The sequence below is a fragment of the Homo sapiens genome, chromosome 1, assembly GCF_000001405.40.
Source record: "Homo sapiens chromosome 1, GRCh38.p14 Primary Assembly".
NCBI lineage: Eukaryota > Metazoa > Chordata > Mammalia > Primates > Hominidae > Homo > Homo sapiens.
In genome coordinates this window covers 248,112,457-248,127,669 of record NC_000001.11, presented here as the reverse complement: position 1 = coordinate 248,127,669, position 15,213 = coordinate 248,112,457, and the positions used below count along the sequence as shown (strand labels likewise).

General features: G+C 37.2%; 1 pseudogene across 1 annotated transcript; it reads right to left on the bottom strand.

Moving 5' to 3' along the window:
* Window positions 1-4,799: 4,799 nt before the first annotated feature.
* Window positions 4,800-5,738, bottom strand: OR2M1P (olfactory receptor family 2 subfamily M member 1 pseudogene; annotated as a pseudogene). The gene has a single exon (NR_002141.2). The product of NR_002141.2 is annotated as an olfactory receptor family 2 subfamily M member 1 pseudogene (transcript).
* Window positions 5,739-15,213: the final 9,475 nt, after the last annotated feature.

Genomic DNA, 15,213 nt, shown 5'->3' with positions numbered 1-15,213 from the left:
CCACCCAAGGAGAGGCTGAGCTCAGACAAGCTTATCTTAGCCCACACCTGGTGGACCTTCTCTACCCACCTTGGGGGCCGAAGACAAAGGTAATAATCTCTTGGGTGCTCTAAGGCCATGCCCACCAGCTGAGAAATATGAATACTTGAAAAGGTGCCCCTAGGGCACATAACAACAGGTTATCTAAAGTCAAGATGAAGGAAAGAATCGTAAGAGCTATGACACAAAAGCATCAGGTAACTTATAAAGAAAAACCTGCCAGATTAACAGCAGATTTCTCACCAGAAACTTTATAAGATAGAAGGAATTGGGGTCTTATTTTCAGCCCCTTTGAACAAAACAATTATCAGCCAAGAATTTTCTATTCAGTGAAACTAATCTTCTTAAAGGAAGTAAAGATACAGTCATTTCCAGACAAACAAATGCTGGGAGAATTCACCATTACCAACCCAGCACTATAAGAACTGCTATAAGGAGTTCTAAACTTGAAACAAATTCTTGGATTACACCAAAACAGAACCGCCCTAAAGCATAAATATCACATGACATACATAACAATAACAGAATGAAAATGAAACCAACAAAGAGCACAACAGATAGAATAGTACTTCACATCTCAATACTATCATTAATGTTAGTGGCCTAAATGTTCCACTTAAAAGATACAGAATGACAGAATAGATAAGAATTTGACAACCAAGCATCCCCATCTTCATGAGATTCACCTAACACATAAGGACTTACATAAACTTAATATAAAGGGGTGGAAGAAGATATTCCATGCAAATGTAAACCAAAGGTGCACAGGAGTACCTACTATCATATCAGAAAAAAAACAAACTTTAAAGCATCAGCAGATAAAAAAAAAGACAAAGAGCAACAGTATATAATGATAAAAGGACTAGTACAACAGGAAAATATCATAATTGTAAATATATATCTACCTAATTGTGAAACTCCCAAATATATAAAAAAATTATTACCAGTCCTAAGAAATCAGATAGGCAACAATACAAAAATACTGGGATACTTTAATACTCAACGGAGAACACTAGACATATCATCCAAACAGAAAGTCAACTAAGAAACAATGAAATTAAACTATACGCTACAACAAATGGACTTAACAGATATTTACAGAACATTCTACCCAACAACTGCAGAATATACATTCTATTCATCAGCATATGGAACATTCTCTAAGATAGGCCATATGATAGGCCACAAAACAAGCCTCAGTATATTTAAGAAAATCAAAATTATATCCAGTACTCTCTGAGACCACAGTGGAATAAAATCGGAAATCAACTCCAAAGGAACACTCAAAACCAGGCAAATACATGGAATTTCAACAATCTGCACCTGAAAGATCATTGAGTAAACAATAAAATCAAGAGGGAAACTAAAAAAGAATTATTTAAACTGAATGAAAATAGTGACACAGCCTATCAAAACCACTGGGATACAGCAAAAGCAGTACTAAGAGGAAAGTTCATAACATTAAATGCCTATATCAAAAAGTCTGAAAGAACACAAATAGACAATCTAAGGTCATACCTCACTGAACTGGATAAACAAAAACAATCCAAACCCAAGCCTTGATGAAGAGAAGAAATAACGAAGATCAGAGGAGAACTAAATGAAATTGAAACAAAAAAATACAAAAGATAAATGAAACAAGAAGCTGATTCTTTGAGAAGATAAATAAAATAGACAGACAATTAGTGAGATTACCCAAGAAAAGATTTAAATAAGCTCAACTAGAAATGAAACAGGTGCCAGACGTGGTGGCTCATGCCTGTAATCCTTGCACTTTGGGAGGCCGAGGCAGGGAGATCACGAGGTCAGGAGTTCGAGACCAGCGTGACCAACATGGTCAAACCCCGTCTCTACCAAAAATATGAAAATTAGCCAGGCATGGTGGGATGTGCCTGTAATCCCAGCTACTCAGAAGGCTGAGGCAGGAGAATCTCTTGAACCCAGGAGGCGCAGGTTGCAGTGAGCCCAGATTGCACCACTGCACTCCAGCCTGGGCAACAAAACAAGATTCTGTTGAAAGAAAGAGAAAAGAAAGGAAGGAAGGAAGGAAGGAAGGAAGGAAGGAAGGAAGGAAGGAAGGAAGGAAGGAAGGAAGGAAACAGGCGATAAAAAAAACTGGTACCACAGAAACACAAAAAAATTACTCAAGGCTACTATGAACACTTTTATGCACATAAACTAAAAGACCTAGAGAAGATGGATAAATTTCTGGAAATGTATAAAACTCCAAGATTAAATGAGGAAGTTATAAAATCTCTGAACAGACCAAAAATAAGCAGCGAGATTGAAATGGTAATAAAAAAAATGTCAACACCAAAAAGGCCAGGACCAGACAGGTTCACAGTTGAATTCTATCAGACATTCAAAGAAGAATTAGTGCCAATCCTATTAACCCTATTCCAAAAGATAAAGAGGGAATTTTCCCTAAATCATTCTATGAAGCCACTATCACCCTAATACCAAAAGCAGACAAGGACATAACAAAAATAAAACTACAGACCAATATCCCCAATGAACACTGATGAAAAATTCATCAAAAAAATACTAGCAAACCAAATTCAACAGCATATCAAAAAGATAATCCACCACGTACAAGTGGGTTTTATACTGGGGATGCAGGGATGGTTTAACATACGTAAGTCAATGAATATGATATATCCCACATAAACAGAATTAAACAGGAAAATCACATTATCATCATGATAGACAAGAAAAAGCATTTGACAAAATCCAGCATGCCTTTACGATTAAAATCCTCAGCAAAATCGGTGTAGAAGGGACATACCATAAGATAAGCAAAGCCAATTGTGACAAATCCACAGCCAATAATAATCTGAATGGGGAAAAGCTGAAAGCATTTCCCCTAAGAAACGGAATAAGACAAGGATGTCCATGTCCACTCTCACCACTCCTATTCAGTATTTGACCATACTGCCAAAGGCAATCTACAAATTCAATACAATTCCCATCAAAATGCCACCATCATTCTTCACAAAACTAGAAAAAAAGTCATAAAATTCATATGGAATCAAAATGGAGCCTTCATAACCAAAGCAAAACTAAAAAATAACAAATCTGGAAATATCACATTGCCCAACTTCAGACTGTGCTATAAAGCCATAATCATGAAAGCAGGGTAGTGGTATAAAAATCGGCACATAGACTAATGGAACAGAATAGAGAACCCAGAAATAATGCCAAACGTTTACAGCTAACTGGCTTTCCACACAGCAAACAAAAACATAAACTGGAGAAAGGACAACCTATTCAACAAATGGTGCTGGAATAATTGGCAAGCCACATGTAGGAGAATGAAACTGAATCCTCATCTCTCACCTTATACAAAAATAAACTCAAGGTGGATCAAAGCCTTACATCTAAAACCTGAAACCATAAAGATTCTACAAGATAACATTGGCAACACCCTTCTAGACATTGGCTTAGGCAAAGACTTCATGACCAAGAACCCAAAAGAAAATGCAAAAAAAAAAATGGGATAAAAAATAAGACTAAATTAAACTAAAAAACTTCTGCACAGCAAAAGAAATAATCAACAGAGTTAAGAGACAAACCAGAGAATGGGAGAAAAATCTTCACAGTCTATGCATCTGACAATCGAATAATATCCAGAATCTAAAAAGAACTCAAACAAATCAGCAAGAAGAAAATAAACAATCCCATCAAACTGGGATTGGGCTAAGGGACTTGAATAGACAATTCTCAACAGGATATACAAATGGCCAATAAGCATATGAAAAAATGCTGAACATCACTAATTATCAGAGAAATGCAAATCAAAACCACAGTGCAATACAACTTCACTCTTGCAAGAATGGCCATAATCAGAAAATCAAACAATAATAGATGTTGGCATGGATGTGGAGAAAAGGAAACCCTTTTACACAGTTGATGGGAATGTGAACTGTTACAAGACTAGGCAAAACAGTGTGAAGATTCCTTAAACAACTAAAAGTAGATTCACCATTTGATCCAGCAATACCACTACAAGGTTAGTACTCAGAAGAAAAGAAGTCATTATATGAAAAAGATACTTACATGTTGCATGTTTATAGCAACACAATTTGCAATTGCAGCAATGTGGAAGCAGCCTAAATGCCCATCACTCAATGAGTGGATAAATAAAAGTTGGTATATATATATATATATATATATATACACACACCATGGAATACTACTCAGCCATAAAAAGGAATGAATTAATAGCATTTGCAGCAACCTGGTTGGAATTGGAGACTATCATACAAAGTGAAGTCACTCAGGAATGGAAAACCAAACATCATACGTTCTCACTCACATGTGCCAGCTAAGTTATGAGACATCCAGGCATAAGAATGATACACTGGACTTTGGGGACTTGGAGTAAATATTGGGGACTGGAGAGGGAAAAAGACTATATATTGGGTACAGTGAACACTACTTGGTTGATGGCTGCACCGACATCTCAGAAATCACCACTAAAGAACTTATTAATGTAATCAAACACTACTTGTTTCCCAAAAAGATAATTTAAAAATTAAAAAAATATTTAATGTCTTTATTTACAATGCCTTATATTGTAGTCACAACTGAATTGAATATAAACATATCTAAAATAGTTTATCTGAAATAAATTATATACCTGCCCATAAATATGTTGAACAATGCACACAATCAATGATATTTTTAGGACTTTATAGAAAAAGAAGGATATTAGAAAGAATAATTTAGCAGACATCAAAACATAAAGTTTATGAGGTAACTCTCTCTCCAGACTTGCCCTTTCCTGAGATCTTCATGAATGCTCTGGTCACTTCCTTGTTGCGGAGGCTGTAGATGAGGGGATTCAGCATGGGAGTGAGGATGGTGTAGAATACAGACACCAGCTTGTCCTGCGTTGGGGAGCGATCAGATGTGGGCTGTATGTACATGAACAAACCTGCTCCATAGAACATTCCCACCACCATGAGGTGAGAGGAACAGGTCGTGAAAGCTTTGCGACGACCCTCTCCAGATCCCATGTGAATGACAGCCAGAATAACTCCAGCATAGGAAGCAATGATGATTGCAACAGGGAAAACAAGCATTACTATAGAGCAAATGAAAATAACCTTTTCAAATATTGATGTGTCATTGCATGAGAGGATTAGTAGGGAAGGTAACTCACAGAAGAAGTGGGCTATTTCCCGAGACCCACAGTAGGAGAAGGAAAATGTGGCTACAGCATAAATGATTCCATCTGTAGAGCCCAGGATCCAGGAGAAGGCAGTCATAAGTCTACAAATTTTGGGTCTCATGAGATTGGTGTATCTTAGAGGGTGGCAAATGGCAATGTAGCAGTCATAAGACATAACAGCCAACAGAAAGCATTCAGAGCCAAGCAGTGATACACAGAAGAAAATTTGTGTGGCACAGCCAGCCATAGAAATGGACTTGCTGCCAGACAAGTAGTTGAAGGCCATCTTGGGTACGGTGGTGCAGATGAGCCTGACGTCCATGGGGGACAGTTGACTGAGGAGGAAGTACATGGGGGTATGGAGCTGGGTATCCAGGTAGATTAGGAGAACCATGAGGGAGTTTCCCATGAAGGCCACCTAAAAGATGCACAGGACCAGAAAGAAGAGGAAGGTGCGGGTGGGGCTGTGATTGAAGATTCCCAGGAGGATGAAGCCGGAGTTGAAGGTCTGATTCTCCCATGCCATGATGAATATGTTTTTTCCCTAGCACCACAAAACCAGTTCATTAATTTGGCAAAACTTTACTTGGTACCTTATAAAGCATGTGATTGTGGTAAATTCTGTAGTTGAGTGATCAATACAGCATGACTAGAAGTAGGAAACTCAAAGGTTAAGAATTATAGAATCATAAAGAAATATGTTATTTCAGCACTGTCTCACTTATAAAATTATGGAGCTAAGTTTTTCTTCTGAGCATCCTTTTTATCCATTAAAAATTAGGGCAATCGATTGGGTGGCAGCCAAGATGGCCGAATAGGAACAGCTCCGGTCTACAGCTCCCAGCACGAGCGACGCAGAAGACGGGTGATTTCTGCATTTCCCTCTGAGGTACCAGGTTCATCTCACTAGGGAGTGCAGGACAGTAGGTGCAGCGCACCATGCACGAGCACCCAATACAGGACCACCCAGATTCATAAAGCAAGTCCTGAGTGACCTACAAAGAGACTTAGACTCCCACACAATAATAATGGGAGACTTTAACACCCCACTGTCAACATTAGACAGATCAACGAGACAGAAAATCAACAAGGATACCCAGCAATTGAACTCAGCTCTGCACCAAGCGGACCTAATAGACATCTACAGAACTCTCCACCCCAAATCAACAGAATATACACTTTTTCAGCACCACAACACACCTATTCCAAAATTGACCACATAGTTGGAAGTAAAGCTCTCCTCAGCAAATGTAAAAGAACAGAAATTATAACAAACTGTCTCTCAGACCACAGTGCAATCAAACTAGAACTTGGGGTTAAGAAACTCACTCAAAACTGCTCAACTACATGGAAACTGAACAACCTGCTCCTGAATGACTACTGGGTACATAATGAAATGAAGGCAGAAATAAAGATGTTCTTTGAAACCAACGAGAACAAAGACACAACATACCAGAATCTCTGGGACACATTCAAAGCAGTGTGTAGAGGGAAATTTATAGCACTAAATGCCCACAAGAGAAAGCAGGAAAGATCCAAAATTGACACCCTAACATCACAATTAAAAGAACTAGAAAAGCAAGAGCAAACACATTCAAAAGCTAGCAGAAGGCAAGAAATAACTAAAACCAGAGCACAACTGAAGGAAATAGAGACACAAAAAACCCTTCAAAAAATTAACGAATCCAGGAGCTGGTTTTTTGAAAGGATCAACAAAATTGATAGACTGCTAGCATGACTAATAAAAAAAAAGAGAGAAGAATCAAATAGATGCAATAAAAAAATGACAAAGGGGACATCACCACCGATCCCACAGAAATACAAACTACCATCAGAGAGTACTACAAACACCTCTACGCAAATAAACTAGAAAATCTAGAAGAAATGGATAAATTCCTCGACACATACACCCTCCCAAGACTAAACCAGGAAGAAGTTGAATCTCTGAATAGACCAATAACAGGCTCTGAAATTGTGGCAATAATCAATAGCTTACCAACCAAAAAGAGTCCAGGACCAGATTGATTCACAGCCGAATTCTACCAGAGGTACAAGGAGGAACTGGTACCATTCCTTCTGAAACTATTCCAATCAATAGAAAAGGAGGGAATCCTCCCTAACTCATTTTATGAGGCCAGCATCATCCTGATACCAAAGCCAGGCAGAGACACAACCAAAAAAGAGAATTTTAGACCAATATCCTTGATGAACATTGATGCAAAAATCCTCAATAAAATACTGGCAAACTGAATCCAGCAGCACATCAAAAAGCTTATCCACCATGATCGAGTGGGCTTCATCCCTGGGATGCAAGGCTGCTTCAATATACGCAAATCAATAAATGTAATCCAGCATATAAACAGAACCAAAGACAAAAACCACATGATTATCTCAGTAGATGCAGAAAAGGCCTTTGACAAAAGTTAACAACCCTTCATGCTAAAAATTCTCAATAAATTAGGTATTGATGGGACTTATCTCAAAATCATAAGAGCTATCTATGACAAACCCACAGCCAATATCATACTGAATGGGCAAAAACTGGAAGCATTCCCTTTGAAAACTGGCACAAGACAGGGATGCCCTCTCTCACCACTCCTATTCAACATAGTGTTGGAAGTTCTGGCCAGGGCAATCAGGCAGGACAAGGAAATAAAGGGTATTCAATTAGGAAAAGAGGAAGTCAAATTGTCCCTGTTTGCAGATGACATGATTGTATATCTAGAAAACCCCATTGTCTCAGCCCAAAATCTCCTTAAGCTGATAAGCAACTTCAGCAAAGTCTCAGGATACAAAATCAATGTACAAAAATCACAAGCATTCTTATACACCAATAACAGACAAACAGAGAGCCAAATCATGAGTGGACTCCCATTCACAATTGCTTCAAAGAGAATAAAATACCTAGGAATCCAACTTACAAGGGATGTGAAGGACCTCTTCAAGGAGAACTACAAACCACTGCTCAATGAAATAAAAGAGGATACAAACAAATTGAAGAACATTCCTTGCTCATGGGTAGGAAGAATCAATATCGTGAAAATGGCCATACTGCCCAAGGTAATTTATAGATTCAATGCCAAACCCATCAAGGTACCAATGACTTTCTTCACAGAATTGGAAAAAACTACTTTAAAGTTCATATGGAACCAGAAAAGAGCCCGCTTCGCCAAGTCAATCCTAAGCCAAAAGAACAAAGCTGGAGGCATCACGCTACCTGACTTCAAACTATACTACAAGGCTACAGTAACCAAAACAGCATGGTACTGGTACCAAAACAGAGATATAGATCAATGGAACAGAACAGAGCCCTCAGAAATAACGCCCCATATCTACAACTATCTGATCTTTGACAAACCTGAGAAAAACAAGCAATGGGGAAAGGATTCCCTATTTAATAAATGGTGCTAGGAAAACTGGCTAGCCATATGTAGAAAGCTGAAGCTGGATCCCTTCCTTACACCTTACACAAACATTAATTCAAGATGGATTAAAGACTTAAATGTTAGACCTACACGCATAAAAACCCTAGAAGAAAACCTAGGCATTACCATTCAGGACATAGGCATGGGCAAGACTTCATGTCTAAAACACCAAAAGCAATGGCAACAAAAGACAAAATTGACAAATGGGATCTAATTAAACTAAAGAGCTTCTGCACAGCAAAAGAAACTACCATCAGAGTGAACAGGCAACCTACAGAATGGGAGAAAATTTTTGCAACCTACTCATCTGACAAAGGGCTAATATCCAGAATCTACAATGAACTCAAACAAACTTACAAGAAAAAAACAAACAACCCCATCAAAAAGTGGGTGAAGGACATGAACAGACACTTCTCAAAAGAAGACATTTATGCAGCCAAAAGACACATGAAAAAATGCTCATCATCACTGGCCATCAGAGAAATGCAAATCAAAACCACAATGAGATACCATCTCACACCAGTTAGAATGGCAATCATTAAAAAGTCAGGAAACAACAGGTGCTGGAGAGGATGTGGAGAAATAGGAATGCTTTTACACTGTTGGTGGGAGTGAAAATTAGTTCAACCATTGTGGAACTCAGTGTGGCGATTCCTCAGGTATCTAGAACTAGAAATACCATTTGACCCAGCCATCCCATTACTGGGTATACACCCAAAGGACTATAAATCATGCTGCTATAAAGACACATGCACACGTATGTTTATTGCGGCACTATTCACAATAGCAAAGACTTGCAACCAACCCAAATGTCCAACAATGATAGACTGGATTAAGAAAATGTGGCACATATACACCATGGAATACTATGCAGCCATACAAAATGATGAGTTCATGTCCTTTGTAGGGACATGGATGAAATTGGAAATCATCATTCTCAGTAAACTATCGCAAGGACAAAAAACCAAACACCGCATGTTCTCACTCATAGGTGGAAATTGAACATTGAGAACACATGGATACAGGAAGGGGATCATCACACTCTGGGGACTGTTGTGGGGTGGGGGGAGGGGGGAGGGATAGCATTAGGAGATGTACCTAATGCTGAATGACTAGTTAATGGGTGCAGCACACCAGCATGGCACATGTATACATATGTAACTGACCTGCACATTGTGCACATGTACCCTAAATCTTAAAGTATAATAATAATAAAATAAAATAAATTAAATTAAAAAGAAAAATTAAAATTAAAATTAAAAAAAAGAAGCATGGATGTTAGCTTGCTAGTGGGTACAAATCAGGTAGATGATTTTTCATTAATGAAAGAGTGCATGGTTAAAAAAAAGAAATATTATAGAAATTTAATATGTAGATAAATAACATGTTTTGACTAAAACATGATATACTTAAAAACCACAAATCTCTCTCCATTGACACATGGACTAATATAAAGATTAACTCTATAAAGTATAATAATAAAAAAATAAAATAAAATAAATCTAAATAATATATGTATTTTATTTTTAAGAATAAGACCCACAGTCGGCTGGGCATGGTGACTCACGCCTGTAATCCCAACACTTTAGGAGGCCAAGGCAGGTGGATCAACTGAGGTCAGGAGTTTGAAACCAGCCTGGCCAACATGGTGAAACCCCATCTCTACTTAAATAATACAAAACATTAGCTGGGCATGGTGGTACACACCTGTAATCCCAGCTACTAGGGAGGCTGAGACAGTAGAATTGCTTGAACCCAGGAGGTGGGGGTTGCAGTGAGCCAAGATCACACCATTGCACTCCAGACTGGGGGACAAGATAATGTAAACAAGGGGGTAACTTTAGGGGTACTTACCCAAGAACATGGGGGCCACCGGCAACCTGTAGCCTTCCTATCAAAGGTTTTAGACCCCATAACCTGTGGATGGCCCGAATGTGGTCCATCTATTGCAGCCACCACCTTGTTAACTGAAGAAAGCAGACAGCTAACCTTTGGGGAAATTTGGTTGTAAGCACATCCCATCAAGTTAGAACTATTTTAAACCAGAAAGCAGGAAGATGGCTCACTGATTTAAAAGTATCAGTGGCTCAAGGATTTTAAAGTATGAAGCTATCCTATTAGAAAGGGATGATTTAACCCTAACCACTGATAATTCACTTAACCCAGCAGGTTTCCTAACAGGGAATCCAAATCTAAAAGGACCTGAGCATCAGTGTTTAGATTTAATTGATTATCACACAAAAGTAAGGTCCGATTTAATACAGACCCCTTTCAAAACAGGGCAGCACTTATTTCAGATGGCTTTTCCCAGGTAATTGAAGGGAAAAAACACAAAGGTTATTCAGTAGTTTATGGGGAAGCTCTCTCAGAAATAGAGTCAGGAAGATTGCCTAATAATTGGTCTGCCCAAACTTGTGAATCATTTGCATTAAATCAGGCGTTGAAACACTTGCAAAACCAGAAAGGGGCTATTTATACTGATTCCAAGTATGCCTTCGGGGTAGCTCACACCTTTGGAAAAATTTGGACGAATAGAAAATATTGATTCAGATAATGGGACTCATTTCACTGTGCATGTCATTAAGAAATTAACCCAAACACTAGACATAACATGGGAATACCATACTCCCTGGCACCCACCTTCATCAGGAAGAGTGGAGAAAATGAACCAAACTTTGAAGAGCCACTTGACCAAATTAGTCTTAGACACACGGTTGCCATGGACCAAATGCCTTCCCATTGCCTTGTTAAGAATCCAAACTGCCCCTCAGAAATATGTTGGTATAGCTCCTTATGAGATGCTATATGGGTTGCCCTATTTACAATCCACTGCTGACATTCATACTTGGTCTACCACTTTCTCTTCCCTCAGAACTAAAGGTCTTTTAGCACAGACACTACCCCTAGAGTTCCCAGCATACCAGCATCAGCCTGGGGATAACATCCTCATCAAAAGTCGCAAAGAAGGAAAACTCAAACCGGCTTGGGAAGGACCCTACCTAGTGCTTCTAACCACCGAGACCTCAGCATAAAGAGGATGGACTTATCATACCCGAGTCAAGAAGGCATCACCACCTCCAGAGCCATGGACCATTGTTCTGGGGGAGAGTCCTACCAAACTAAAGCTAAGAAAAATTGAACCCTCTTAAATCTCCTTTATCCCTTCCATACCCAATGACCAGTCGGATGGTCTTCCAGCCGACCCGGCATGAGCTGTATGGTAGCTCTCTTCCAAGACCCCACAGCCTGGGGTAATGAATTCTACTCAGCTCTCTCTCTCTCTCTGCTATTCCCTGAAGTCTGACACCCTGCAGGTCAGCCCCCGAGGGCCATCCAGCCTCCGTCTCCTGATGCCAATTTTACCTCATGTTTCTCACGGCAGGGGGAAAATTTAGCCTTCGCTGGAGACCTAACGGGATGCAGGGAGCTTAAGCCCTTCCAAGAGCTTACCAACCAGTCTGTCCTTATTCCATCCCTAATAACACAGCCCCTGATGGAACAATTAAAAAGACCTTAAGCCTTACCTCTTGCAGTTGTTACAGGTTATTCTTGCAGGATGCTGCATTATACCTTGTCTTCATGGATTAGTGCAGAGACTATAAAAACAGCTCTCACCAAAACCTTTAATTCTCCCCCGTCTGATTCAGATAAGCTCCCACTTTAAGAAAACCAAGCAGAACAGCAGAGTCAAAACATGCTAAAAAGTTTGAACAGGAAGAATTATAAAAAGAAAGAGGGGGAAATTGTTGGATACAGTGAGTTTCTCTTCAAAGGTTCCGCTTGTTCAACTCCCTCTTTCTTTGCTCTCTGTTTTCAATGCCTAACTTCCTTGCCTCCTTGCCCCTAGTTACGGTAAACAACCTTCCAGCCGTTCCCAATCTGTAACACACATCTGTTCTCAATCTGTAACCCACATCCATTCCCAATCTGTAACAACCCACATCTGTTCCTTATTTGGCACCCTTAGTTCGGAAACTGCTCTTCCTGCAACTGCTGTAGCCCAGACCCCTGCTCCATTTGAAGTAGCCAATCGGGATCAGCTTAGATTGTGCTGTCCGACTCCAGCCAATGGGGACCACACACAGTAACAGGGACTGACTGCGTGGATATGTGTGGTATTTAATGATGCATAATTTTTTCTTCAATTGTATGTATTAACATAGCGCATATGAATAAATTTGATTTTAAAATTAAAATTAGTTTAAAAATTTAATCTGATTACAATAATATATGAATATATAACTTCAAGAAGTAGTCAAGCTGTTTCTAAAGTTCATCACATGCATAATTAACATGAAAAAATTGTCAGAAAAGTCCTGCAAAAAAAAGTTAGACTATTACTGAATTGAAAAACTAATATATTAAAATATATTATAAAGTAATAAAAATTAAAATTATATACCGTTTACTAGCATTTGAAACTGCTAGAGAAGAGAACTTGTTCAGTTAACCATGTTGGGACAACCAGTTAACCAGTAACAACAACCAAAATGAAGTTAATGCTTACATTTTTATAAGAAAATAAACTCCAAATAGGCATTAGACTTGTTAATAAAAAGACCTTTTCAAAAAAATCAGAAAAAAATTAAAAACCCTGGAGCTCAAAAACCTTTAAAAATATGATACAAAATCTATCACTGAAAAAAGATTTATTTATAAATGTGACTATTTTAAAACAATTCTTGATTGTAGTGATCATTATAAAGAAAAACAAAAGACACATAAAACTTAAAACAATGTTGAATTATATTGCACAGACACAGACACAGATTTATACTGGAAATATAAAGGGTTCCAAACATCTATATATATATATATATATACCAATAACTCTATGGTAAAATAGGTAACATTTCCCAGAAAATAAAACACAAATAGCTCTAAAAAATAGAAAAAGATGTTGTCTCATTTATGAAAATGTAAATGGCACTTAGAAATAAATATTCAGTTATATGTTTGCAAACTATCAAAATGTTTTAGGGCACAATGTGTTTTTTGGTACAAAATGGCAAACACATTCTCACATATTATTACTGAGATGCAAATTTGTATAAATTTTTGGAAGAATTACCTAATGGATAGATCAATTATATATCTACACACACTAAGTAATTTAAATTATATGAATTATGTACATATATGTACATATATAATACTTAAATATACTTACGTATAATATAAATATATGTGAACATATATTTATGTACACTTATTTAAGTATATATGAATGATATATAAGTATATATCTTTTAAATATACTTATATATGTTAAATATACTTATCTACTAACCTTTTTATGTGTATATACTTATGTATATCATATATAAAATATATATATAACTTCTGTATATACTTAAGTATATATAAATATATACTTCTATATATTATATATTATATATGCTTATATGTAACATATATGCTTATGTAAGTATACAGGTATACATATACATATGTATACATATATGTATAAACTTATCAAAAAGAGAAAGTTTAAGCACATGTACCAAAGACATATAAAAGAAAATTCATAGCAGCATTATTCAATATAGTCAGAAACTGAAAATTCCTAGAGTAGAATGGATTAATGAATGATGATATGTTAATATAAAACAGAGTATTAAACCTTACTGTAAAAACTAGAGAGATGAAAAGTAATAGCACTATTCAACATTACTACATGTATCTGAATTATGAAACTTTAAAAATAAAAGAAATACACACAAAAATTTTGTGGATGATAAATTTGATTATTATGACTTCCAATGTCTTCCTATAGAGTGCAAATTTCATACTGTTTGGAATTAGTGTGGTATTTTCTATTAAATTTGGAAATTTACTAGTGCTGTAACCCAGCAGTTCCTGGGTATACAATCAATTAGAGCTCTGCACAGAACAACCAGAAGATTTCTACAGCAATCTGTGTTACAGCATCAGATGTGATAGAATCCAAATAGGTACCCATCAACCCTGAAATGGCTAAATGTATTGCAATGAGAAGATAACATGAAATGTTTTTATTACAATAAAAATGAAAGAGAGACACAAATGTGTCCCATTAATGTAAAACTCACCAGAGACCAAACTCAGTAGAATAAGCAGATTAAAATTAATGTATGAAGCTTACAGATTTCTTTAGAACTTAAAAATAAATGAAAGTATGAACAATATTACTACTAGATATTTTAGTAATTACATATATGTGGAAGGAGGACTTTTTGTTTGGAAATGAGAATGCAAAGGGCTTCTGAGAGTGCTGACATTGTTCTGTATCTTGAACTGGCAAGTGGTTACACAGGTGTTCAATTCATAATACCTTGTTTCCTCGTGGTTATCTTGCCTATGGCTTTGTGTGTGTATGTGTTTTACATTTCACCATACAACATTTTTAAAAGTAAGATGCAGTATAGCAATTAATAAAAATAATATATGGTCATATATGTACCTATCTGTGGAATGATACACAATGAACTGAAAACTCCTTTATACTAGAGAGAGGACAGAGTACATATTTGAAGAATGGGGGTTGGAAATAAAATCATCCCACATTATAAATGTTTTTCTAATTTTATGCTAATG